Source organism: Homo sapiens, chromosome 18, assembly GCF_000001405.40.
Source record: "Homo sapiens chromosome 18, GRCh38.p14 Primary Assembly".
In the NCBI taxonomy this organism is placed as follows: domain Eukaryota; kingdom Metazoa; phylum Chordata; class Mammalia; order Primates; family Hominidae; genus Homo; species Homo sapiens.
The window spans coordinates 62276179-62300177 of NC_000018.10; the positions used below are offsets into that span (position 1 = coordinate 62276179).

General features: G+C 35.0%; 1 protein-coding gene across 30 annotated transcripts in view, besides 1 other annotated feature; it reads left to right on the top strand.

Annotated features, from left to right (window-relative positions):
- RELCH (RAB11 binding and LisH domain, coiled-coil and HEAT repeat containing) overlaps window positions 1-23999 on the top strand; it is a 122995-nt gene that overhangs the window by 88924 nt on the left and 10072 nt on the right. For 9 of the 30 annotated variants that reach the window (NR_144403.2, NR_144405.2, NM_001346235.2 and 6 more), the window contains 6 exons: window positions 3596-3678; window positions 4468-4531; window positions 6128-6266; window positions 11173-11289; window positions 15365-15453; window positions 22612-22682. Coding sequence is in view for 20 of the 30 variants with exons in the window: in NM_001346235.2 (NP_001333164.1) it covers window positions 3596-3678; window positions 4468-4531; window positions 6128-6266; window positions 11173-11289; window positions 15365-15453; window positions 22612-22682 (563 nt within the window). In the remaining 10 variants the exon portion in view is untranslated. Of the gene's footprint in view, window positions 1-1405; window positions 1981-3595; window positions 3947-4181; window positions 4265-4467; window positions 4532-6127; window positions 6267-8060; window positions 8184-9270; window positions 11290-15364; window positions 15454-22611; window positions 22683-23999 lie in introns of those variants that run through there. The other 21 variants (NR_144408.2, NR_144407.2, NR_144410.2 and 18 more) reach the window with 14 other exon arrangements.
- Window positions 14120-14298: a silencer, noted in NCBI's record as "fragment chr18:59957531-59957709 (GRCh37/hg19 assembly coordinates)". NCBI's record gives its function as "represses an EF-1alpha promoter that drives an FKBP-Casp9 reporter gene in an ReSE screen in phorbol 12-myristate 13-acetate-treated (for megakaryocytic differentiation) K562 erythroleukemia cells {active_cell/tissue: K562(+PMA)}" and the evidence as "EXISTENCE:reporter gene assay evidence [ECO:0000049][PMID:32094911]".

Consider the following 23999-nt stretch of genomic DNA (forward strand, 5'->3'; position numbering starts at 1 on the left):
TTATTGATTTCCAGTCTTGCAATAAATCTAGGCTGCCTTGGTTCAGTTTCCATCTCTGCTACCTAGTGACTTTGTAAATTACTTGGACAAGGTTGAGCCTCTCTGTACCTTAGTTTCCTCATGTACAAAAGAAAGTTGATAACAAAAAGTATCTGTCTCAAAGTATCAGTCTCAAAGGATTTTTGTTAATATTAAACTAATTAATGCTTGTAAAGCCCTTAAAACAGTCTCTGGAACATAATAAGTGCTTATATGTTTACTGTCATTATCATTATTTTTTCCATCCATGCTATTACTTCACAAAATATATGATAGTAATAGGGAACATATACTTATCCAAACTAAAATTGCCCCAATATTCATGTGTTTCTTAAAATACCTAAACATTTATTTCTATAAAAAGAATTGGTTAATTCAAATCTTGCCGAATATCAGAATTTCTCCACAATTTAAGATAAATTGCAATTGGAGATGGGGTACTGATATATTTAAAATATATGCTTTCTAAAATTTTCAAATACGTAAATTAGATTTGTGAATTCCAGAAAATTCCATTGTTATCAGGAAGTTGAAAATTCTCCATCCATGTTATTCCCTCAGTTATCATACAGAAGCAACTTTTAAAAAGCCGTAATCAGGTTTTTTGTGATGATGAATGCCAAAGCCACTATTTGGTTTTATGTCTAGTACAAGTTCCTTCTGGATATAAATCGTTTTGATTATTCGATATGCTGAAAAGGGGGCATTACCATGAAAGAAAAGTCATTCATCAGTCTCTCCTCTCCCCAAAAAGAAAAAAGTATCTTTTTAAATGAAGAGCTATTTCTTTAATATACTCTCTTCCTATGATTTTATTCTAAGCTCATAAAAGCTATTTCTTTTTCTTAAATCTTTCATCTCTAAAATGTGAGTGTGCACTGGTGAATCAAACCATGTAAATGAAAATAAGTAAATAGAATGAATCCTCCCTTTTCACTTGTTTTGAGGTTTTTTGCTTGTTTTGTTTGGTTTTCTGCCTTATTATACGTGGCTTATGTCTGGTTTTGGTTTCTCTGTTTGCTGTCAGTGCTGGTCTGGAAACTATATCTATCTATGCTTAAGCAGTTTTCAGTGTCCTCTCAGGTTGTTGATGAACTTCTGGATCTTGTTTGAGAGACTATTTCAATGTTTTTCAAATTCATTAATGATACATTTCAATGAGCATGTCAGTAAAAGTTATCAGTAAGAGAAATTAAAGTTCCTTTTTTGTCAGTGGTTCTTATTTGAACAAAATTGTGTTAAAAGAATAATGGGTCATAAGATTTATTTTGATACTGATGCTTTATAATTTAGAATTATGCCTGCTTACCCTAAAAAAGTTAATTCAAAATAAAAACATAAAAAAAACACATTCTTTTTTTAAAAGGTAAGACCAGAAAGAAAAGAAAATGAGAAATGAGAAGAAAATGAGGCATACATATACCAGGAACCTAATAGGGTATGGTCACTGAAATTCACTAATAAATTGAGTTTAATTTTTAGACAGCAGGACAAAAAGAGGGAACCCAATCAATCATATTATTCCCATTGTTAAATAAGGGAATATAAATTACTTTTTGAAGTAGCAAATTAATAAAATTATTTTATAAGAGGAATTTATCATGTTATAATAAATTTCCCAAAAGATGCAGAAAAGAGCTTCATATATATTTTAATCATAAGGAAATTGAACATGTAACATTAGAGCACAACTCAAAGAGGTCATGGACTTTAAGTCAGATGGGACAGAGTTCCTTTGCAGGCCCTGCAACTTAGACTTGGACAAGTTACTTTCCGAAGCCTCAGTTTCTTCATCTGTTAAAATATTGATGATATTTGTACTTACTTCATCAAGTGAAAAGATCAAATGATATATTGTGTTAAAGTGTATAACAATTGATAGCTCTTAAATGTACTTTGTGATTTTCTAGCTTAATAAAGAAATTGAACTTAAAAACCCTACACCAATGAAAAATTAATTTGTCCTCTACATTACCTCTTTTTTAATGCTTTTGACAGACTCAAGATAGCAGAAATTTCAAGATGCTGATTCAAATCTAAGCAATCTTACTTATAAAATGATACAGAGAAGAAAGTTTTATTTAACAATATTTGAACTTCCTTGTCCTATTTCTTTCTATCCAATATCTGTAATGTTTAAGATATTAAAAGTTCTTTGTCATTTTATTCCTGGTTAATTATCTGTTTTTTTATAAAAATTATTTCAGAATATTGAAGTAGATTCTAAAATGAATCAATTGGTAAATGGTGAAAAATCATTGCAAAATTAAGAATCTTCACATAAAGTGAGTTACTTTCTCTGATGTGTTATATAGGAGGAATACCTTCACATATGTACACAATGGTAGATTTTTGTTACAAAAAATTCTGTGACATCTTTGATCTTCTGTGAGGACTAAGTACTAGCTACTAGGTAAACAGATTGGTGAGCATTTAGGATTAATATGTGCTTACATTCTGAAATTGAGAAGGGGATTGCCCTTCTCGGTTGAACTCATAAAATTCAGTAATATTTATCAAACAAAATGTATACGGCTCAGTATTGTTCTCTTGTATTGCAATTTAGCATTGGTTGCTAAATGAATTGTTTTGTGATTAGATTATAGAGATCTAGTTCTACTCATCTTTTTTATTTTACATTTTATTTGAATTTATAAGAAATCTAAAACAAAGACCTATTTAGATATTAACTGAAGTTTTTTAAATTAGATCATTTCTTCCAAACATATTACAAATCATATATTCTTGCAGTAATCAAAATAATTAAACTCTCATTTCTTGAATGCCTGTTTGTCAGGCACAGTATTTAGGTATGTTATTTGCAAATTCATAGCACAACAGCCCTTTGAGGTAGATAATAATATCACCATTTTCAGATGAGAAAACTTGCGTTTCAAGAGGTTATGGAAAATACTATGTATCTAAGACCACATGGCTTATATGTGGAGAACTGACGTCTGAACCCAGATCTGATTCCCAAGTGTAATACTTTCCAATAGGCAGCCTTATATCTCTGTACCTCAAAAGAGAAGGCTATATTATTTAAAAGATTAGGAATTGTCCTATATGGTTTTAAAATACACTTGCTATAGCACAATAATAAGTGGTTTAGTGGTGACTGCTACTCCTGTGAGTTTGGTTTAAAAACAGCCCAGTTTGTACCCTGTTGGTCATGATAAAAGCATACCACCCTTACTTTGAGAATTTTAACCATAGAGCACAATATGTGTCAAACAAGCTAAAAAAGTATTCTTTTCAGTTGCATTTTGATGGACATTGAAATTGCTTAGACTCTTTGACCAAAAGTACAAACTGCTGTTAAACTGGTGACAAAATCTGTTTTCATGGACGCTAGGCTACTTAAGCTTTATTTTCCTCCTAAGCATTCTCTGCCTTTGTAAAGCACTCTAGCAGCAGTATTTGCTTAGCTTCTAATTTTGGTTTTGCTTTTGTGTTTTCTCTCTTTCTCTTGGTTGTTCCTTCCTTCTTCCCGTGGCGCACTGTGTTTGCTCTTTCCGTGCATCACCTGTGAATACCCCCTGTGCTGACCAATCAGCTGTTGGTGAAGGGGGTGAATGAAACTCTGGTAGCTCAGAGGGTTGTTCCTGCTCTCATTACTCTCTCCAGTGACCCTGAAATGTAAGTGTCATCCCTGCCTTTTATATTCGGCATCCCTTTCAAAATGTGCCTGTCAAGAAATAACCATCAGCTCTTAAATTTATTGAAGAATCTCTTTAAATTAATAATACTGGATTATGCTTATTTGATTTTAAACTTTATCACATTATTCTTTATATATCATGGTTCTTTTTAAATCAACCCTCACCATAAGTGTAATTTGGAGGCCACGTATTGAAAAAATATATTAGTAACATTAGTGCTCAATAAATACTTCCAGAACCTAAAATATGCTGATGGACTGTTTCTTTCAAGCCAAGAAGGGATGCTCTCCTAATCTCACTAACAGGTTGTTACCAGTAAGTGTAGTAGCATGAACCAATGGCCTAACATTTTAATGTCTCGTGTGGATGACTAAACCAAGAAAGGCCAATGAGTCTGCCTGCCCATCCTCAGTCACAGCTAACCCAGTTCTTATTCCAGTTTACCAAACCATTTTTTATTGCATGTTGACTGGTTTACAGCTGACTCTTCGAGGCATGAGTGAAGCGTTAGTTGACAAGCGGGTTGCTCCGGCCCTTGTTACCTTGTCCAGTGATCCTGAATTGTGAGTTTCACAGACTGCGACCTTAAGTTATCCTGTCTGTCTTTTTGAGCATTCTTCTTGGTCTGCTTTTTTTAAATTTATTTAATTTGTCATTGCTAGAGACTAATACAGTATATTTACCTTGTACTTACTTTAATATACATTTTAATAATACTCGTTGTTCATCTCAAATCTTCAGTTTCTTTCTGTTTTAATTCTAACAGCTCTGTCAGGATTGCCACAATTCCAGCCTTTGGCACTATTATGGAAACAGTAATTCAAAGAGAGGTAGGAATAATTGAAATTTATTTATGTCTGTGTAATATTGATGTGGTCATGATACATGTATCTGGTGGTAGGCTGCAGGGAGCATCTTACCTTTTATTTTGTGCCCTAGTTAGTTACAGGCCAGAGGAGGATCTCACTGTGAAAACATGGTAGCCTAACCAAGGTATATTTCCATATCCTAAGGAAATCTCTAGTCTTTCCTCTCAGTCAGAACATTAAGTATAGGCCAAGCTTTCAGGGATGTCCAAGGGAGAGAATATAGTCATGGGTTCTTAGTTTCTCTTTCTGATTGGGCCAGTAAAGCCCCTTCCTCTTCCCTCTTTTCTACTTATCACTAGAGACAGAAACTAAAAACCCCGGCTTCAGGCTGCTAAAAGCCTTAAACAAAACAAAACAGAACAACAACAAAATAAGGTGTATTGGACAAGCTTGCTAGATGTTCTATTGTAAGCTGAGCTGGATGTTGCAGTTTTGAATAATCCTTCAAATCAGGTCTAGTTCCAAAGCCTTCTATTACCCGGTAGGCTTCTGGCCAATCTACATAAATTCTTGATTGCCAGTGTTGCACAGATTTGAGGACTGTTTTCCCAGATAACATCATTAGGAACACAAATGTATCTCAGTTATAAATGAAGGCAAGAGGGCACTTGTATTCTGATAACTGTGTCATTGGTATGAAGCTGTAAAAGTGATTTAGTAGACTGGTATCCTCTTGTTGCAGAGTAGATCTCTGGGCAGACCCTCTGTCATGCCTGTTTCAGGAGACCACCAAGGTCTTCCTTCTTAAAGGTGTATTTTAATTCTGAAACTAATTTCAAGTTTTTTAGATTCTATTTGCAACACTAACTATAAGACACTTCTCAAAATTGATATCAGATTTTTATTTCTTTGTTATTATATTGGATATGTCCTTATACAAATGAAAAAACCCTGTAGATTAGCACATATATTATTTGTGGACATATTACCCAAAAGAAAAAAGTTTTAATAAAACTCCTTTGTCATATAGATTTTTCATGACAAAAACTAAAGTTTTGTTAGTTACAGAAAGAATATTTTCCATTTTTTCACTTATATATTTCACTGGTGAAGCCACAGAGGAAAAGCACATCATTCTGCAAAGCTTGCAGTCTTGGCAGAATTTCAACATGTTCTCAAAACCTAAAATAAAAATGTCTTTTAGGGAAATGTGAGTAAGATGTAAGTCATTAATGACTCATTGCTTTCAGAAGGTGAATAATTGGGTAACTTACAGTGTGATTTGTTTTAAGAATTATAATTTAGATACAAAATAATCATAAAGTTACCTACTTTTCCCTAAATACGGTGGGATTTTTTTTCTTTTGTTGTTATAATTTGTTCAGGAATATTTGTATTTTTTAATTAAGAATTTGTAAGCATAAGCAAAAGTAGGAAACCTTCTCTGAGCCAAAAGATTAAATAACTATTTATTTAATTCCAAATTTCTACTGTCATTGGACTATAGGTTGCTTTAATCCACTGCTTTAAGTCATGTTTAATGTGTGTCTTTCACTTTAACAACACTACTCAGTTTTCAATATTCTATGAAATGACTGTACAATATCCAATTTTAAGTTGCTGGAAAGAGTGAAAATGCAGTTGGCTTCTTTCCTGGAAGATCCTCAGTATCAAGACCAACATTCTTTGCATACAGAGATCATAAAAACATTTGGTAGAGTTGGCCCTAACGCAGAACCCAGGTTCCGAGATGAGTGTAAGTTGCATTTTTCTACCTTTTTCCTGAATTGTAATGTAAGATCAAAGCTAGACACTCCTCTGAGGCCTTGTCATGTATTAAAATTTTGGTGCATTTGTCATGTGTTAAAGCCTTGTGTACTGAAAGCCTTGTGTACTCTTGTGTACTGAAAGCTAAACATGAAACAAGTTAGTTATTGTGAATTAATCAGTATTGATATTAGTGGATGGTTTTGTATTATTTTGTTTTGAGACAGAGTCTCGCTCTGTCACCCAAGCTGGAGTGCAATGGCATGATCTCAGCTCACTGCAACCTCTGCCTCCTGGGTACAAGTGATTCTCCTGCCTCAGCCTCCCAAGTAGTTGGGATTACAGGTGCCCACCACCATGCCCGGCTAATTTTTGTATTTTTCGTAGAGACGGGGTTTTGCCATGTTGGCCAGGCTGGTCTCCAGCTCCTGATCTCAGGTGATCTGCCTGCCTCAGCCTCCCAAAGTGTTGGGATTACAGGCGTGAACCACCGCACCCGCCCTAGTGGATGGTCTTATACTGTATAAGTATACAGATGGTCTTATACTGTATACTGATTGCTGTAAGACATATGAAGAGTAACTCAAACTTAATTTCAAGTTATTTTAGAAATATTTCTTAATAACTGCTAATTGCTAAATACTGTGCTGCCTTAGAGTTTATTTTTTATTTTTAAGGAAATTTTTGTGTGTTTCTAGACATGTTCTTATGAAAAACAGACATTTCTTCCACTTAGCATGCCATTCAGCACGATACATAACTTTGTTTTAATTCATAGCTTGTTGATCTGCTACATGATCTTCCACAATTGTCTGCCTTTTTTCTCTAGATTTTACAGAGTCTCTTTTACTGTGGGCCTCAACATTTATGGCCACAATTTCTTTGGATAGCATCAAAGCATTAAGAACTTATGACTCCAAAAGCATATCAGTTATCATAGCTCTTTTATTTTTAGCAATTTGACATGCTCTAGAGAGGGCCACAAGTTGGGTCACTTAAATCAGTTTAGTTTCTAGTACATTATTTTATTCTCCGGCAGACTGTTACATATCCAGGCTGGCATATGACTCTTTAAGATAAGAGTCATCAACAAAAAATACTAAGTCAGGATTTGGACTGCAGTGTCCAAAAAATCGATTGAAGGCATGCACACTGATCAAACTATAGAAACACAGTCATGACATTTTTTTTCACTAGGTAAGTGTCTTTATAATTAGCCAACTAACAGAAGAAAGTTGATATTTTAGTTAGCACTAGGGATAGTTCCACATGTTGCAGTGTCAAATTTACAGGTGATTCTAGGTAGGAACTCTGAAGGTGCTTTGACTTTTCGAGGCTGTAGTTGCTCTGAGGCAAGGAGACCAACTCTTGGCTGCTGGATTAAAGGATAGGCTCAACAGGCAATGGGTCTTTGGTGTGTGCCATGTTGTCAAGTTAAATGGGTATTTGATATGTTGTCATGTTAAACGGGTCTTTGGTGTGTGCAGTGTTGTTGCATTAAATGGGTCCTTGCTGTGTGCCGTGTCATATAGTTAAAACTTTTCTAGAGCATGATTTGACCTTTCTATGTATATTCAAAAGAAAGACTCATGATAATCTGGGAAGAATCCATCTGGATTCTTATAGGATCTGCTCCAATTATTTTGTTGATTCTTCGGAATCTTTTTTCAGTAATTCTGGGACTATAGTTATTTTTCAAATTAAACATAGTGTCAATATCTTAATTTCTCTTTCTAGAATTTTCAAGAATATCTAAAAATAACCCTTCCATTTTATTTGACAGTTTTATTGTAGAATAGATACCTACCTATCAAATTTGTAGGAGTTGTTCAAGAGGAAAAAATGAATTTTCTTCTCATAATGGCCCCCAAATAACAATTAAAGGTTGTTTTGGGAACAGATTGAGGTGAGAAATTCCCACTGCTTGAATAGTTCTAGTAAACCATTATCCTTAAAGCCTCCTGCAACTTACTGTGTACCCACAAGTATGTCTTATACAGTCTTCTTTCACATTTTGGTACAACCAGATTTTTTTAAGATAAAAATTAGCCTTTTTTTCCACCTTTGTACTTACTTCCCAGTCAAGTGGCTTCTCTTTTGCTTTAGAACTTACCCTGAGGAATTTAGTACTCTATATTAATAAGATAAATATTGAAGTAGAACCTGTATGAAGAATGCGATAGTGTTATTCCTAAGTATTTATAGACAATTGGCTTTGGGAGTTTGGAGGATGGACAGAGAATTTCTGGGTGGTAACGTCTCCCTTGGAGTGGCATTTTGGGTATTTAGGTATTTGCCCCTCTATTTCTTGGCTAATAGAGGACATTAGTTCTTTCAGTGGCCCTTGTTCTTTCCCAATTGTTAGTTATCACAGGACCTTTGGTCTTGTTTTTATTTTTAGGAACCAGTTGTTTTATCTGGAACACCGTAGAGTTGTTTTTTGTTTTCAGCTATTTTACTTAGTAAGACTCTCTGAAAATGTTCAGTCGTACATTGGAGATTTTCTGAAGTGGCAATTTTCCATTTCTGATTTTTTCCCCTAAGTTTCTTGTTTGAGGTCTGGGCCCATTTATTCAAACAAACAAACAAAAATAGGACAAGATTCCCTTTATGACTATTGGATCTACCCCAGAATATTTTTGAACGTTTTCTGATATACAGTTTTTTGTTTGTTTGTTTGTTTGTTTGTTTGTTGTTTCTGAGGCAGAGTCTTGCTCTGTCACCCAGGCTGGAGTACAGTGATGCCATCTCAGCTCACTGCAACCTGCGCCTCCCTGGTTCAAGTGATTCTCCTGCCTCAGCCTCCCGAGTAGCTGGGATTACAGGCATGCACCACCACATCCGGCTAATTTTCTGCGAAATACGGTTTTATAAAATCTCCTATTATCCTTTTTTCATTTACAATTTTAAATCCTTGTTCAATCTGCCCTAAAGAAAAAGGCTTCTGCAGTGACTTTATGTTATGTATTTCCTCTTTTTCTTTCCCACTGAAGGTCAGTTTTAGAATTAGCCTGTCTAAGTCAGGCATGGTGCCACGTGTCTATAGTCCCACCTACTCAGAAGCTGAGGTGGGAGGATCACTTGAGGCCAGGAGTTCAACACCAGCCTGAGCAACACAGCAAGATAAGTCCCTACAAAAGATGTTTAAAAATTAGCTAGGCATGGTGGCACGTATCTGTAGTCCATCAACTCGGGAGGCCAAGGCAGGAAGATCACTTGAGTCCAAGTGTTTGAGGCTGTGGTGCACTATGATTGCACCTGTGAATAGTCATTGCATTCCAGCCCAAGCAACAGAGCAAGACCCCATCTCTTAATAAAAAAGAAAGAATGATATCCATCTGGGTTATTATTAAATCATCTCCTGGTCCTTCATCTCCTACTGCTTTTAACCATCTGTCTACATCTGAGGGGTTAACTGTTAAGTGAATTAATTAATACATATGTGGTACCCCAGGACAATATGTGTGTAGTGAAATCTGAATTCTATAGTAAAGTTCTGTCTGTCTTCCTGAGAATTAGGAAGATCCTTAATTAGAGGCTTTAACTTCCTTGAGACTACAGTTTAAATGAACTTCTATAGATTTCTTCTAGTCAAGCAATTTTAAGGGGATATTATGCAGTGTGATTGTTGCATTTCTGAGAAAAACCTTGTAAAAAGGTCAGAGACTCAGGAGAAGATGAAATAAAGGAACCATATATGAATAGATAAAGTGAAAGAATGATAAGTTTCTGAATGTTTGGGCAGAAATGAACTAGTGAGTCTTTGAGAGAGACTTAGAGTCACTATTTTGTTGAGGCCTCAGCGTGCCAATTAATGAAGCTTTCAACTGAATGTTTGGAGTTTTTGTTTCCTAATTTGTTCTAGAGCTCCTCATAAATATACTGTTATTAATTTTGACAAGTCAAAAGGTCCCCTAAAAATGATCATTGTTATTCTGAGTTTTTGTGGGGTTTTACTAAGCTAAGCATGAAAGTTGTGATTATTGCCCCAGCTTATTTAGGATGCAGGAGTTTTTCCAGTAGAAGATTATGACTTTATATACACAAACTCAGTGCAAACAAGAAAGGGGTCACTACAGTTGGTCAGCAGTTGATGCTTATGGGTGGCGTTTTGTGATCCTCAACCAAGCAGAGACTAGAAAGGGGTTGTGTGATTGGTCTTGTGATTAACAATTTAACAATCACTGACCCTGAAGCCATTTCTTCAAAGAGCCCTGGTTTTAGTGGGAAATGGTACCCAGAAAACACAATCTTAGGCTCTAGAGGTGCTCATTGCTACTGAATTGGTTTTTGTTTCTTGGACCATTGCTTTTATTTAGCAGTAGGTTGAAATTTTATGTTACTCTTTGAGGGTATTAAACTCATTGAATAACTTGAAAACTCAGCCGCCAGTGCTGTTTGACATTGGTCTTTGCTAAGAATTTGAGAAACTAAAGCTGATAATAGTATTCTGAAGGAGTGAAATAATAGGTTGTTGAAAAAGAATATACTCTTTTGATTTCATAGCAATGGTAATATTTTATTTTTATGGAGAAACTTAACTGCAAGTATAAATAATACAAGAGGTATGTTGTTTATAATTATTTGGGCTTCATTTTTCAAACTGGGAAACTGAATTACAGTGAGGCCAAATAATCTATATACATCCTCATAATTAGGTAATAGTGACAGTACTAAAATTTGTTTCCCCCAAATGCCAGATCACTTTTTATTTTGAAAAACTACTTTCTTCCCTAGTTAAGAAAAAGCAAGTATAAGATATGGGTAATCTTTTGAAGTCATTCAGAATTAAAATGAAATTTCATAAATTAAAGTGATAAATTATTGTTAAAGTGTGTCAGGGTTTTGTATGCATGTTTTGGGTAAAAATTTAACCCTTTTTTTTCTGTTTTCAGTTGTTATACCACATTTGCATAAGTTAGCCTTGGTGAACAACTTACAGATTGTGGATTCTAAAAGACTGGACATTGCTACGCATCTTTTTGAAGCCTACAGTGCACTTTCCTGTTGTTGTATCCTTGTTTTATTAAGGTGTATCTACATTTATGTAACCAATCTTAGAGTGGAACTTGGTTGGTAAAGATTGAAAAGTAGAACTTCTTTTCTTCAACTTACATTAAGCGTTGTAGAAAATTGAAGATTTGATTTGTCTCACTCCACTCCTTCTTCTAGCCATCTCATAATTTTAAAAGATAAGTTTAAGTCCTCTGTGCTTTTATGTTCTATAGTTTTGAGAATTTTGATGAAGTTCTTAACCTGAAGTTTTTATTTATATTAGTTAGCTACATAACTGAGCAAGAAATAAAGGGCAGAAAGAATTACAGCTGAGACTTCTGTTAATCAAAAGGAAGCCTTGTATATATGACTTGGCATTTAGGTTTTTCAGTGAATGTTTAACTCTCAGTATCCAGTGGAATATTATGAGTATCTCTTAGAGAGATATCACACATTGGACAAGTACAGGGCCAACAAAGCTAATGATCTCCAGTGATTGTAGAACTGGGAGAAAACTTAGAGATCATGTAGGTCCATGTCAGTGACTGTAAATGATTAAACTAAGGCTTAAAGACATGAATGCCTTCTGTTTTTTATAGTTAAAAGCAAAACTGTGACTGGAACAAAGAACTTTAGCCATTCTGTTAAATGTTCTGTTTACTATCCTATGCCTATAAAATAAAACTAAGAAGGAAGTAAAGATAACGATGGGCAAAGTGAACTCCCAACTTTTAGGCTCTTTTATTTAAAAGGCAGAAGGGTTGAAGAAAGGGGAAATGAGAGATTGAAAAAAGAGTGAAAGGCTAAATGCTAAAGTACATGCTAAACAAAAAACAGAGAACAAAGGAAGAGTTTCAGGATTATTATATGTGGTTCACATTGTTATATACCAGTCTGATGAGTTTGATGTAATAAGCAACATGAACAGGTAATTTTAAATGAGATAAATATGCCATAAAATATTACTAACAGTCATTGACACTGGATTCTGGACTAGAATGTACCAATAAGAAGTTATTTTTGTTCAGAATAAACCAAATAGAGAAAGTAGAAAAGTAGAGCTATCTGTGAAGTAGCTATGTGTCTTTGGAAATACTAAAACTGAAAGTTGGATGCATGGTTCAGAGCAGTTTATGTTGGAAATCTATTACAAATGGCCTAATCGTGAGGAGGATATGAGCCATGTTTTTTAAAATATAGATGGCACCATATTTTAATAATTTAATAATTTTGTAACCTCAACTATTCATGTCTTCTATAAGTTTAGTTCCACTAAAAGCAGAACTTATCATTCTTGATTTCTTGTTGGCATTTTCAATTTAGGGAAGATAGAGGAAGCAAAAAGAGGAACTGATATTCTGAATTAGCAAGTAAGAATTCTTTAGTATTGGAGAAGTGATAGGACCCTTGCAAGAAAGCAACAGTGGTGCATCGCAGAGTTTGTATCTCAAAGAAAGAAAACATTGGTGTGTTTAATTGGACTTTGTGAAAATAATATTTAAAACTTACACAAAACGTTATGTATAATCTTATATAGCAGAGAGTTTCTAAAGGAATATGCCTCAAGGAAAATGGGAAAGTTAAAAGATCCAAATGTTTGGCTCTGTAAAACCAAATTTTCCAAGTAGGGAAGGCAGTGGTTTCCAAAGGGCATAGAAATCTATATAAAAGGAATATTATTGTGTGTTTAGACATGCATAGAATATCACTAGAGTAAATACAGTAAAAAGGCGACATACCAATATGGTAAGGGGAAGAACCATCTTAACAACAGTCCCTGTTCAAGTACTAAAAGTGTTAGTTCTACATGAGTCAGAACTTGTACTTGAGTCAACAGTGCTGTGGCCCCTAATAAAATCACATTGTTCTAATCTGTTCTGTTCCATTGTATTCTAAGCTGATCAGAAGAGTGCTCCTTTTAGCCTACCATCATGTTTTAATACAGACATTAGAAAAACTATAGTGTATAACATTTTGGCATAATAATAAGTCGAGAAGTCATGTTTAAGGAAAGTTTGAAGGAATTTAGGAATGTTTAACCTGGAGAAGAGATGGCTTGGGGATGAAAAGATATTTTAAAGGTTTTTAGGTAGAAGGATGATGAGGCACACTGTGCAGCTAAGGTACAGAGCTAATACTAACAAGCAGAGATAACAGAGGCTGATTTCTTTTATAAGAAAAACTTCCTAATTGAGCTATCTAAAATGCAGTGATCTCCCTTAATAAACTAAGAATCTTCTTTCATTGTTAGCAGTCAGAGGCTAACCATCATTCACCAGTGAGGTAAAGGTGTTTCCTAATATCTGATGGAACTAATTACCTTTAACTTTCGAATCCTTGAGAAAGATTGATCCATAGGGAAAAGGTAGGCCCCCAACAGAGAGTAGAAAGAGGAAAAGAAAAGTGACTTCCCTCTTCTAAGTAGGGCCATATTCAGCTTCTCATTCCATGCCCATATTTCTCTAGATCAGACTCTTAAACTACTAATTCAAAGGTCATTCACAGTTATATTTTGGTGCCACTTATCCCCATATCTAGAAAGCAAGACTACATAATCATTAGGTTGTAGCCCTCTATATGTCTATAGGGATTTGGTTTGACCAAATGATGTTTATATTTTTAATACCTGTTAAATTTATAAATCACTCATTATAGGATCCATGTCTGTGAACAATTTTTATTTATAACTGTATTTTCAAAGCAGTAGTTACACTGATTTTTTTCTTAGTGAAATTCATTTTTTCAACTAAGTCATCTTTATAAGGGAACTCATTTAAGTCATCTAATTTAATCATCTTTATGGCCGGGCACGGTGGCTCACGCCTGTAATCCCAGCACTTTGGGAGGCCAAGGCGGGCAGATCACCTGAGGTCAGGGGTTCGAGACCAGCCGAACATGGTGAAACCCCATCTCTACTAAAAATATAAAAAATTAGCTGGATGTGGTGCCGTGCACCTGTAATCCCAGCTACTTGGGAGGCTGAGGCAGGAGAATCACTTGAACCCAGGAGGCGGAGGTTGCAGTGAGCCAAGATTGTGCCACTGCACTCCAGCCTGCGTGAGAAGAGCAAAAAATTCTGTTAAAAAAAAATATCTTTATAAGGGAACTCACTTACTGGCTTTTTTGTGGTGTGATATTAAATAGGAGCTAGCTTTACAGGCTAGAATAAAGGGAGAATGTATCAGAATTGACGGGAATGAACAAGATGAATTGTTTTCTGGAGAAAGTTTTCCTGATACCTTTTAATGTCAAGATAATCAACTAAAACTCAAAGATGACTGAGAACTACAAGTAATCCTAAACTTAACAAATGCTCTTATTACAGTAAAAGCTCTGTTATCCAACTCAATCAGGACCTATAGTAGGTCAGTTTAACAGGATGGTTAAAGCAAGAAATCAGGAAAATGGTATCTACCTTAGATAACTTATTTTAACTTAAAATGTATATATGTTATTTTCTTTTACCGGTCTTTTGATATAGGCATCTCTTTTGTGTGAATCTGTTGATTATAGTTAAACATCTTCTTTCTCAGGTAAATCACATCTGTAATGCAGTTGTCTATGATTTGCAGGTTAAAGTTCTTTAAAGAGGATCCAGAAATATTTCTGATATGCACTATAGAGTTTTTCTAGATTTTTATATTTTTCTCAATCGTTTACAATTGTCTTATACGTAATAGTTAAACAGCAATGTTTTAAGCAATTTGCATTTATCAGTTTTTCCCAAAACTTTCAACTTAGTTGTCATGGAAAACTTACTTTTTATACTTTTTTCATATTCATTGAAACATCTGATTGGGTTACATGACTTAATTGTTACGCTCACTTTATACATTTCCATGACATTCTGTAATTTAAATGATGAATACCACTGACATAAATAGCTTTGTGTGAATAAACACAATTGACTCCTGATAAATAACTTACTCTGCAAATGAGGATTCATGCTTGAGGGGAGCCTGTTTACCCTGAGTGATCACTATGCCATAGGTATGATATAAGAAGGCTTCTCTTTTATATGTAGTAACTCGGTTGTTCTGTTGGACATACCAATTTGGTTTTGTTTAATTCCCTTAACTACCTTGTCCCAAGTCATTTCAGAGGATTTAATGGTTAATCACTTTTTACCTGGTCTCAGATGTTTACGGACTGACATGGAACATCTCTCTCCAGAGCATGAGGTGAGCCACTGTGATTACCAGTGCCATATTCATGTTTTAATACCTCATATATAGACTTGCAGTCTTCTCTATGTGAGGCTTATGATATGCTGTAATTTTTTTAAATCTAGCTCAATGTCATTTTATCGATTTATTTACTAGATGCGATATCTTCAGCAACTCCTTTCACATCTTTAAGCCTCTCTTTAATTGTCTACAGTAGGGATAATACACTCTCCTTCACTTAATATAATGAGACTTTAATAAGATAATGTATGTGAAAATTTTTAACTATAAAATATTAGTTCTCTCTGACCATCAACTTTCTTAAGTGCAGTTTCTATTTTCCATCTTCATTTCTTCATAACTATTTTATTTCATTCTATTTGTCTCCTGTTTCCCCTCGTTTCCTCCAAATCCCTGTTTATCATTTATTTTCTATTCTGTATCTTCAACCTATTTTTCCATCAGCTTTTCCTTTTACGATGTTTGACTCTCCACTCCTAAATAGCAAAACCTTCCTTTCATCCCTCTCCAAGTCTCTTATTCTTCCTGATCATCCACATTTACTCTCTCAACTTTTACAGTGTCTATTGGTACATCATATTCCCTGCATCACACTAATCCATTGAAACTGCCATCTTTAAGATCACTCATGACCAAGCTGCCACCCTGATAGGACTTTTTTTTAGTTCTTATAGCTTCACGTCTCTCTGCAGCATTTTCTGATTCAAAACTCCTGTGGCTCCTGGGACTCCACTTCTATTCCTGTTTTTTTCTTACTTCTCTAGTCAGTTCTTCCCAATCTCCCCTCCTTTCTTACCTCACCTTTTCATTCATTAGAATTACTCTCCATGAACAAGTTCATCCATACTCATCATCTAACTTGCCTTTACTATATGTTAATATCACACAAGTTTCATCTTCTGCTCTAACCCCATGCTGGAGCCATAGAACTTCATGGCTCACTGCCATCTGTCTATTCCACCTGCATGTCCTACAGGCATCATTTAAAATTCAGCATGGCCAATCCCCTCAACCAGAATTACTGTCTGTCTCCCACTTTGGCTAATGCCATACTGCTTTCTCCCCAAGTCATATATCTGATAGTTAACATAGAGTATGTCCAATTAGTTCTTTAATTTCATAATGTCTTTCTAATCTCTTCCGTTTCTTTATACCTGTGCCACCCTGTTAGTTGAATCTCATTCAATGAGATTATTGTTATCTCATTGAAACCATTGTAGAATATCCTAATTTTTCTCCAATCTTAGCTCTCTACTGTTGTTTCTCACTACAGCCAAAGTACTTTTCCTAAAGTATAAATCTCTTCGTGTTATTCTCCTATTAAAAACCCTTTACAAGTTTCTTACATACAAGGCCTTTTATCATCTGACACCTGTTCATCTTGATAGTTTCATCCTGCGCCCTTTCTCCTCCATCACACACTCTGCCCCAGCCATGCCAAACTAATTCATCTCCACCATATAACATCGTCTTTTCTTCCATGCCTTTGCCTATTCTCTTCCCTCTGTCAAAAGAATGCCATTTCATAATGCAAAGTGTAGAATATACACTCAAAGGCTATATTACATATCTGTTTGTATTAGTCAGGGTTCTCCAGAGAAGCAAAACCAAAATGATATATTAAGAGATTTATTTTAAGGAATTGGCTTATGCAGTTGAGGGGGCTGGCAAGTCCAAAATATGTAGGAGAGACCATAAGGCAGAACACTCAGGCAGGAATTGATGTTTCAGGCTTCAGTCCAAAATACGGAGGGCAGGCTGATAACTCAAGCAGTATTTGAGGCAGATTCCTTCTTCAGGAAACCTCACTTTTTGCTCATAAAGCCTTCAACTGCTTGGGTGAGACCTACCCATATTTTTTAGGGCAATAATCTCCTTTACTTAGAATTAATTTATTGTGATGTTCATCACATCTACAGAATACCTTCACAGCAATGCCTGGGTCACTGTTTGATTAAATAACTGGGTGCTATATCCTAGCCAAATTGACACAAAAGACTATGACTATCAGTCTTGTTTAAGAAACAGTTATACTGTCACAAAGTTGATGGGGGAAAAAAGAAGGAAAAATTTTTAAAATAATAATAATTAAACTAACACCCATGTAATTACTACCTAGCTTAAGAAATAGAAAATTACCAGTATCTTAAAAGTTCCATATATGCCCCTCCCTAATCATGTCCCTCTCATGTGCTCCTCCAAGTTTAACACTTGCCCAGAATTTTATATTTTCATACTTTGTTTTTCTTATTGTTTTACCACATATTTATTTATCCCTAAACAACATATTGTTTAATTTTGCATATTTCTCCTATCCTGTATATATGGAATCTCCTGTATGTATTCTTATATGATTTGCTTTTTTCACTCATTTTGTTTATAAATTTCATTCTTATTGATATTTGCAAAAGTAGTTATTTTATTGTCCTTACTGAATAGTATTCCTTTGTATGATTATGCCATAGTTTATCCATTCTTCTTTCTGGGAAAATAGGTGATATTTCCAGTATTTTGTTATTATAAACAGAATTACAAGCATCTTATGATGCACATGTACAAAAGTTTGTCTGTGAGATACAAACTGGGAGTAGAATCAACAGATTGTACAGTGTATACACTTTCAGTTTTGCCAGCTAATGCTAAATTGTTTTCCAAAATGCTAACAATTTATACCCCTATAGGCAGTGTATGGGAGTACTCTTTTAGTTCTTATGTTTGCCAACACTTGGTATTGTTAAACTTTCTAATTTAGTGGATATAAAATTACCATTATGTTTCTGATTTGCATTTCTCTAATTACTGTCAAGTTTGAGCATCCTTTGGTATGCTTATTGATGAGTTGTGTTCTTCTATTAAAGTCTATTTAGGTTTTCTGCCTATTTTTCATTTAGGCTGTCTTAACCGTTACTTTTTGGAAGTTCATTATATATCTGGAATATACCAATACTTAGTCAATTTTATGTTTTATGAATATCTGTTTCCAATTTATGACATGTCTTTTCATATTTTTGGCATCTTCGAACACTGATTCTTAATTTTTTAATAGTCAGATTTATTGATCATTTATAAAAGACATTATTTCCTATACTTCTGAAATTTTTTTAAATTGACTTTATACAATAAAATTATTAATTTTACTAGAATTGGTTTTTATGTATGATGTGAGCTAGCATTCCAATTATATTTCTTTTCCTATATGGACAATCTGTTATTTCAGTATGTTTTTTGAACCGTTCATCCTTTTTGCACTGATTGGCAATGCTGCCTCTGTCATACATGAAGTTCCAGTGTATGTACGTGCCTGTTATTGGGGAACATTCTTTCTCACTGGTTTCTTTGTCAATTATTATAAAAATGATATGTTGTCTTCATTACAGTTGTCTTGTTTAAAAGTCCAGAAATTCAGTAGGACAAGTCCAGCATCCTGTCCTTTTTTAGAAATGTTTTGACTGTTCATGACCCTTACCTTCCTCATATAAAGTTTAGTATTATATTGACAAGTTCCAAGAAGGATCTTATTTAGATTCTGATTGAAATTGAATTGACTCTGTAAATTAATTTGGGGATTCTTCTCTATGATTGAGTCTTGCTATATAGAACATGCTATATCTTATATTTATTTAGATCTCCTTTCAACACGCTGGGACTACAGGCGTGAGCCACCATCCCCAGCCTGGTGTGTTTTTTTTTTTTTTTTCTCTTTCTTTTAAAGTTAGTTTTGAATAGGGATTTATCAGTTTCATTAATCTCAAATATTGCACTTTTAGCTGTGTTGATTTTTCCCTACTGCTTTTTTTTTCTGTTTTACTTATATCTGTTTTCATCTGTATTTCCTTTTATTTTGTTTAGGTTTGTTTTTCTATTTTTCTAACTTCTTGAGGAGGAAGCTTAGGTTATTTTTAAACTTTTCTTCTTTTCTGATATATGAATTTAAGGGTTTTGGCTTTTTGTTTGTTTTTTTGAGACAGGGTCTCACTGTCACCCATGCTGGAGTACAGTGGTGCTATTTTGGCTCACTGCAACCTCTGCCTCCCAGTGATCCCCCCACCTCAGCCTCCTGAGTAGCTGGGACTACAGGCATGCACCACCATGCCAAGCTAATTTTTTGTATTTTTAGTAGAGACAGGGTTTTGCCACGCTGCCCAGGCTGGTCTCAAACTCTTGGGTTCAAGCGATCCACCCACCTTGGCCTCCCACAGTGCTGGGATTACAGGCTTGAGCCACCATGCTCAGCTATGAATTTAAGGTTTTAAGTATTGTTTTAGCTGTATCCCATGCATTTGCTATATTTTATCTTTATTATCATTTAGTTCAAATTAGAGTTTTATTTCCAGTATTTCATAACTGACCCATGGGGTTTGTTTAATTGGGGGGCAGGGGGAATTATCTTGTGATATTTTTGTTACTGATTTCTATCTTAACTACAGTCAGAGAACAGTCTGATTTCAGTCCTTTGAAATTTGTTACAGTTATCCTAATGACCCAGAATATGATCAATGTGGCATTTGAAAAGAATATACATTCTGTCATTATTAGGTATATTGTTTTATATATTTCAATAAAATAAGGTTAGTTAATTTTATGGTTCCATTCTATCTTTGTATCAGTTTTTTTGTGACCTGCTTGTTTCATCAGCTGTTGAAAGACGCGTTGAAAGTTACAATTGGCAGCCAGGCGTGGTGGCCCACGCCTGTAATCCCAGCACTTTGGGAGGCTGAGGCAGGCAGATACCTGAGGTCAGGAGTTCGAGACCAGCCTGACCAACATGGAGAAACCCTGTCTCTACTAAAAATACAAAATTAGCCAGGTGTGGTGGTGCATGCTTGTAATTCCAGCTACTTGGGAGGCTGAGGCAGGAGAATCATTTGAACCCAGGAGGTGGAGGTTGCAGTGAGCCAAGATCACGCCATTGCACTCCAGCCTGGGCAACAAGAGCGAAACTCCATCTCAAAAAAAAAAAAGTTATGATTGGGGATTGTCTACTTCCCCTTTTAGTTCTTTTCAGTTTTGCTTTGTATGTTTCTTAGATGCCCTTTATCAGGTTGAGGAAGTTTCCTTCTATTCCTAGTTTTTGAATGTTTTTATTATGAAGGGATGTTAGATATTGTCAAATGTTTTCTTCTGCATCAATTGAGATGATCATGAGGTTGTTTTTTCTTCTGTTGATACAGTGTATTACATTAATTTATCTTGGAGTACTAAACCAACCATGCATTCCTGGGATAAATCCCACTTGGTTATGTTGAATACTTCCTTTTATATGTAGCTGGATTAAGTTTGCTAGTATTTTGTTGAGGATCCTTGCTTCCAGGATAAATGCTAAATCTAAGTCCTTAGGACAGAACTTAGAAGAAGCAAGCCTGTTTCACCGCAAATTTCCCTACCTCCATTAGGGTATGGTGGGACTGAATAAGAGGAATAATTTAAAGACTTTAAAAGGATCAGATTCCCAGATTCCCTTTGCAACCTTGAAGAGAGACTGGAGCTTTACTCTGTAGACTTGAGATATCGGGCATAGCTGAAAACCATACTGAAAAGAGGGAAAATAAGTGACAGCTAGTTAATGATGGGACACCTCATTACCCTTCAAATGCTGGCTGTCAGGTTTATACCTACAGGAGAAAAAAGATCAACAGAAAGTTAGGTTTTTGCCAGATTTAACTTAAAGTGAAGTCTACTGATGCATAAAGAGATTCTAATCCACATTTTGGTGCTCCAGTCATTAGTAGACATCCCAAGATTACCAGTCATTTAGAAAAGCCTAGAATACCAAAGATAGAGATGAAAATATAGAAGAAAGAAGGATACTGGAGGAAACAGAGACAATGCAAGGAGGATAAAAAAAAATACAAAAAATTCCCCTTAAAAACCAAAAAGCAAAAAACTAGCCAAACAAACAGATGCTATAACCTGTGAGACAAGAGAGTGGGGAAGCAGAGAATACATTCAAAAAAGCGTAACCTAGAGTTTCCCACATGATGCATGATAAAAGTTTCATTCTCTCAGAATAATCCCCAAAGTCCTTATCATAATCTCAAGGCACTATAGGATCTGGCCCTCTCTTCTAGTACATCTAAGACTTCATCTTCTATCCTGTCTCCCTTGCTCACCCTGCACCAACTCTGTCTTCTTTCCTTAGGACATGGCAGGTCTAGTCACACCTCACAGCCTTTGAGCAGCCTCTTCCTAGCATCTGCAGCATTTATTCCTCCATCTCCTTCATGTTTTTACTTAAACATTATCATCTCCATGAAGCCTACCCTGAACACTTCCATGTGAATTGTACCGTTCTCCACTTTGGCCTTCCTAGTACCCCTTATCTTACTCAATGTTTTTTCTAAAACCCTTATCACTTTCTAATACACTACATAATTTACCTGCTTTTTGTGTATCTGTCTCTCTTACTAGAACATAAGCTCCACAAGTAGGGAATATTGTCTGTTTTATTTGCTTTATCCCCCCCCGTCTAAAAAGATACCTAGCCCGTAGTAGGTAGACAATAAATATTTTTTTAGGGACCTCCATGCCCAAACATGGGCCAAGAATATTCAGAAGAGCCATTCATTTTCTGGTGTGGTTGCCAGATATTAGAGCAGCAGTTTAGTTCTCTCTAACCTTTCTATCACTCACTCAGTCTCCCTGCAGGAATCGTGTTAACTTTTACACACCCAGCATATCCCTCATTATATTTTAATAGCCATGGTGCTGTACCTAGTCTCAGCTCTAGACATTAAAATAAGGGATCTTGCTTTTTGCAACCTGGAGAAAGCAAAGGGGCGTAGAACAGGACAGCTTTTACTGGGAAAATATGTGTGTGACCATAGTGTGTGTGTATGTTAAATATATAGATGTATATAAATTTTACTTTTAACATTAGAAGATGGTGAGTAAGCTAAGGGAGAATAGAAAACATTTAGAAAGAAGACTAGTGAAAATCAAAATAAATTATTGTTATATGATTGAGATTTTTTAAAGCTACTTCTGAACCTAGTCTAGCAATCTAATATGAATTCCTTTAACAAAGTAACTGCCAAAACTAAATTTTTAATTAACATATTAGCTTATAGGAATATTAAAAATTAAAACATTAGATTAAACCATAGTATTTTACTATGTAAACTGTATTTCACTAAGGTAAATTTTTTTAATCAGGTTATTTTAAGTTCCATGATAAAAGAATGTGAACAAAAAGTTGAAAACAAGACCGTCCAAGAGCCTCAAGGGTAAGACATTAATTCTTTTTTTAAGGCTACATGTTAACTTTAATTTTTCTATCTAAATTTGCTGTCAATCAGTGTAATGTGTCATTTTGTGTTACGTTATAGTCCTTTGTTTGGAAGACAAGAAAATGATTTAAGTCATTGGTTCTCAAATCCTGGTCCATAAACTATCTCATCAGAATTATCTGGGGAATTTAAAATTCAGGTCTCCACCCCATGCCCTGCGCCTTCTCTCAATATTCTCAGTCAGCCTAGGGATCTGCATGTTTAAAAGCTTCCAACAAAATTCTTTTATGTAGCTGGGTTGTTCACTCACCAGTCAAAAGAATGTCTAGAAACTTGTGACAGGAGTTGTAAGATGAACAACGTACTGCATAAAGGACTATCAACTTGGGAATGTTCTAGTCACATGCTTCTAATCAAACTAATTGGAATCCAAGGATTCAGTAAAATTAAAATATAAGCATAGACGTGAAAGAGTATTATAACGTTGGAGTTTCAGGAGTGGGAGTTATTTACAAATGAGCTGTACGTACTCTTACTGAAATAACCTTGAGCATCTTAAGTGGACTCTATTAGACATAAAAAGCTCAAAAGTACTTTTTTTAAGGCTAACTACTGGGAATAAGTGTTTCATCCTATCAGTCTAGAAACACACACACACTCACGCATACGCTCCTCCCTATTCCCCATGTGCAACACGCATATATCTTTGATGTGTTAGAACCCTTACTTTATAAAGCCTCTTAGAATGGAAGCAGTCTTCTCCATATATATCCATTTTAACCACAGAGGATTAAAACAATAGACACATTCACATCTTCTATATTATTAGTGGTTTTTTATAGAGGTTTTTTACAGGTTTTTCTAACAAACACAAAAATAAACTGAAAATATAATGAATTTCTATACATGTTATAACTGTAACCCAGCTTCAATTTCATCCATACCTGACCTACTTCTCCCTCCCATTCTCTGATATGTATCTTTTAAAGATAAGTATTATTTAAAAAAACATAAACACAATATCATTATCACACCAACATAACAATAACAACTTAATATCATCAACTGTCTGGCTTTTGTTCAAATTTCTCCTTGTTTCATAAATGTCAGTGATTTGTTGTTTGTCTTCCTTAGTTTGTTTCTTTGAGTCAGGGTCCAAATGAGTTCTGTACATTGTAGTTGGTTGCTATGTTGTCTCCTTCAATCCATAGATAGAATGTCACCCTTTTATTCCTTTTTTCTCCATACAATTTACTTATTGAAGAAACTGAGTCATTTGTCCTATAGAGTTTCCCACAGTCTGAATTTTGGTGA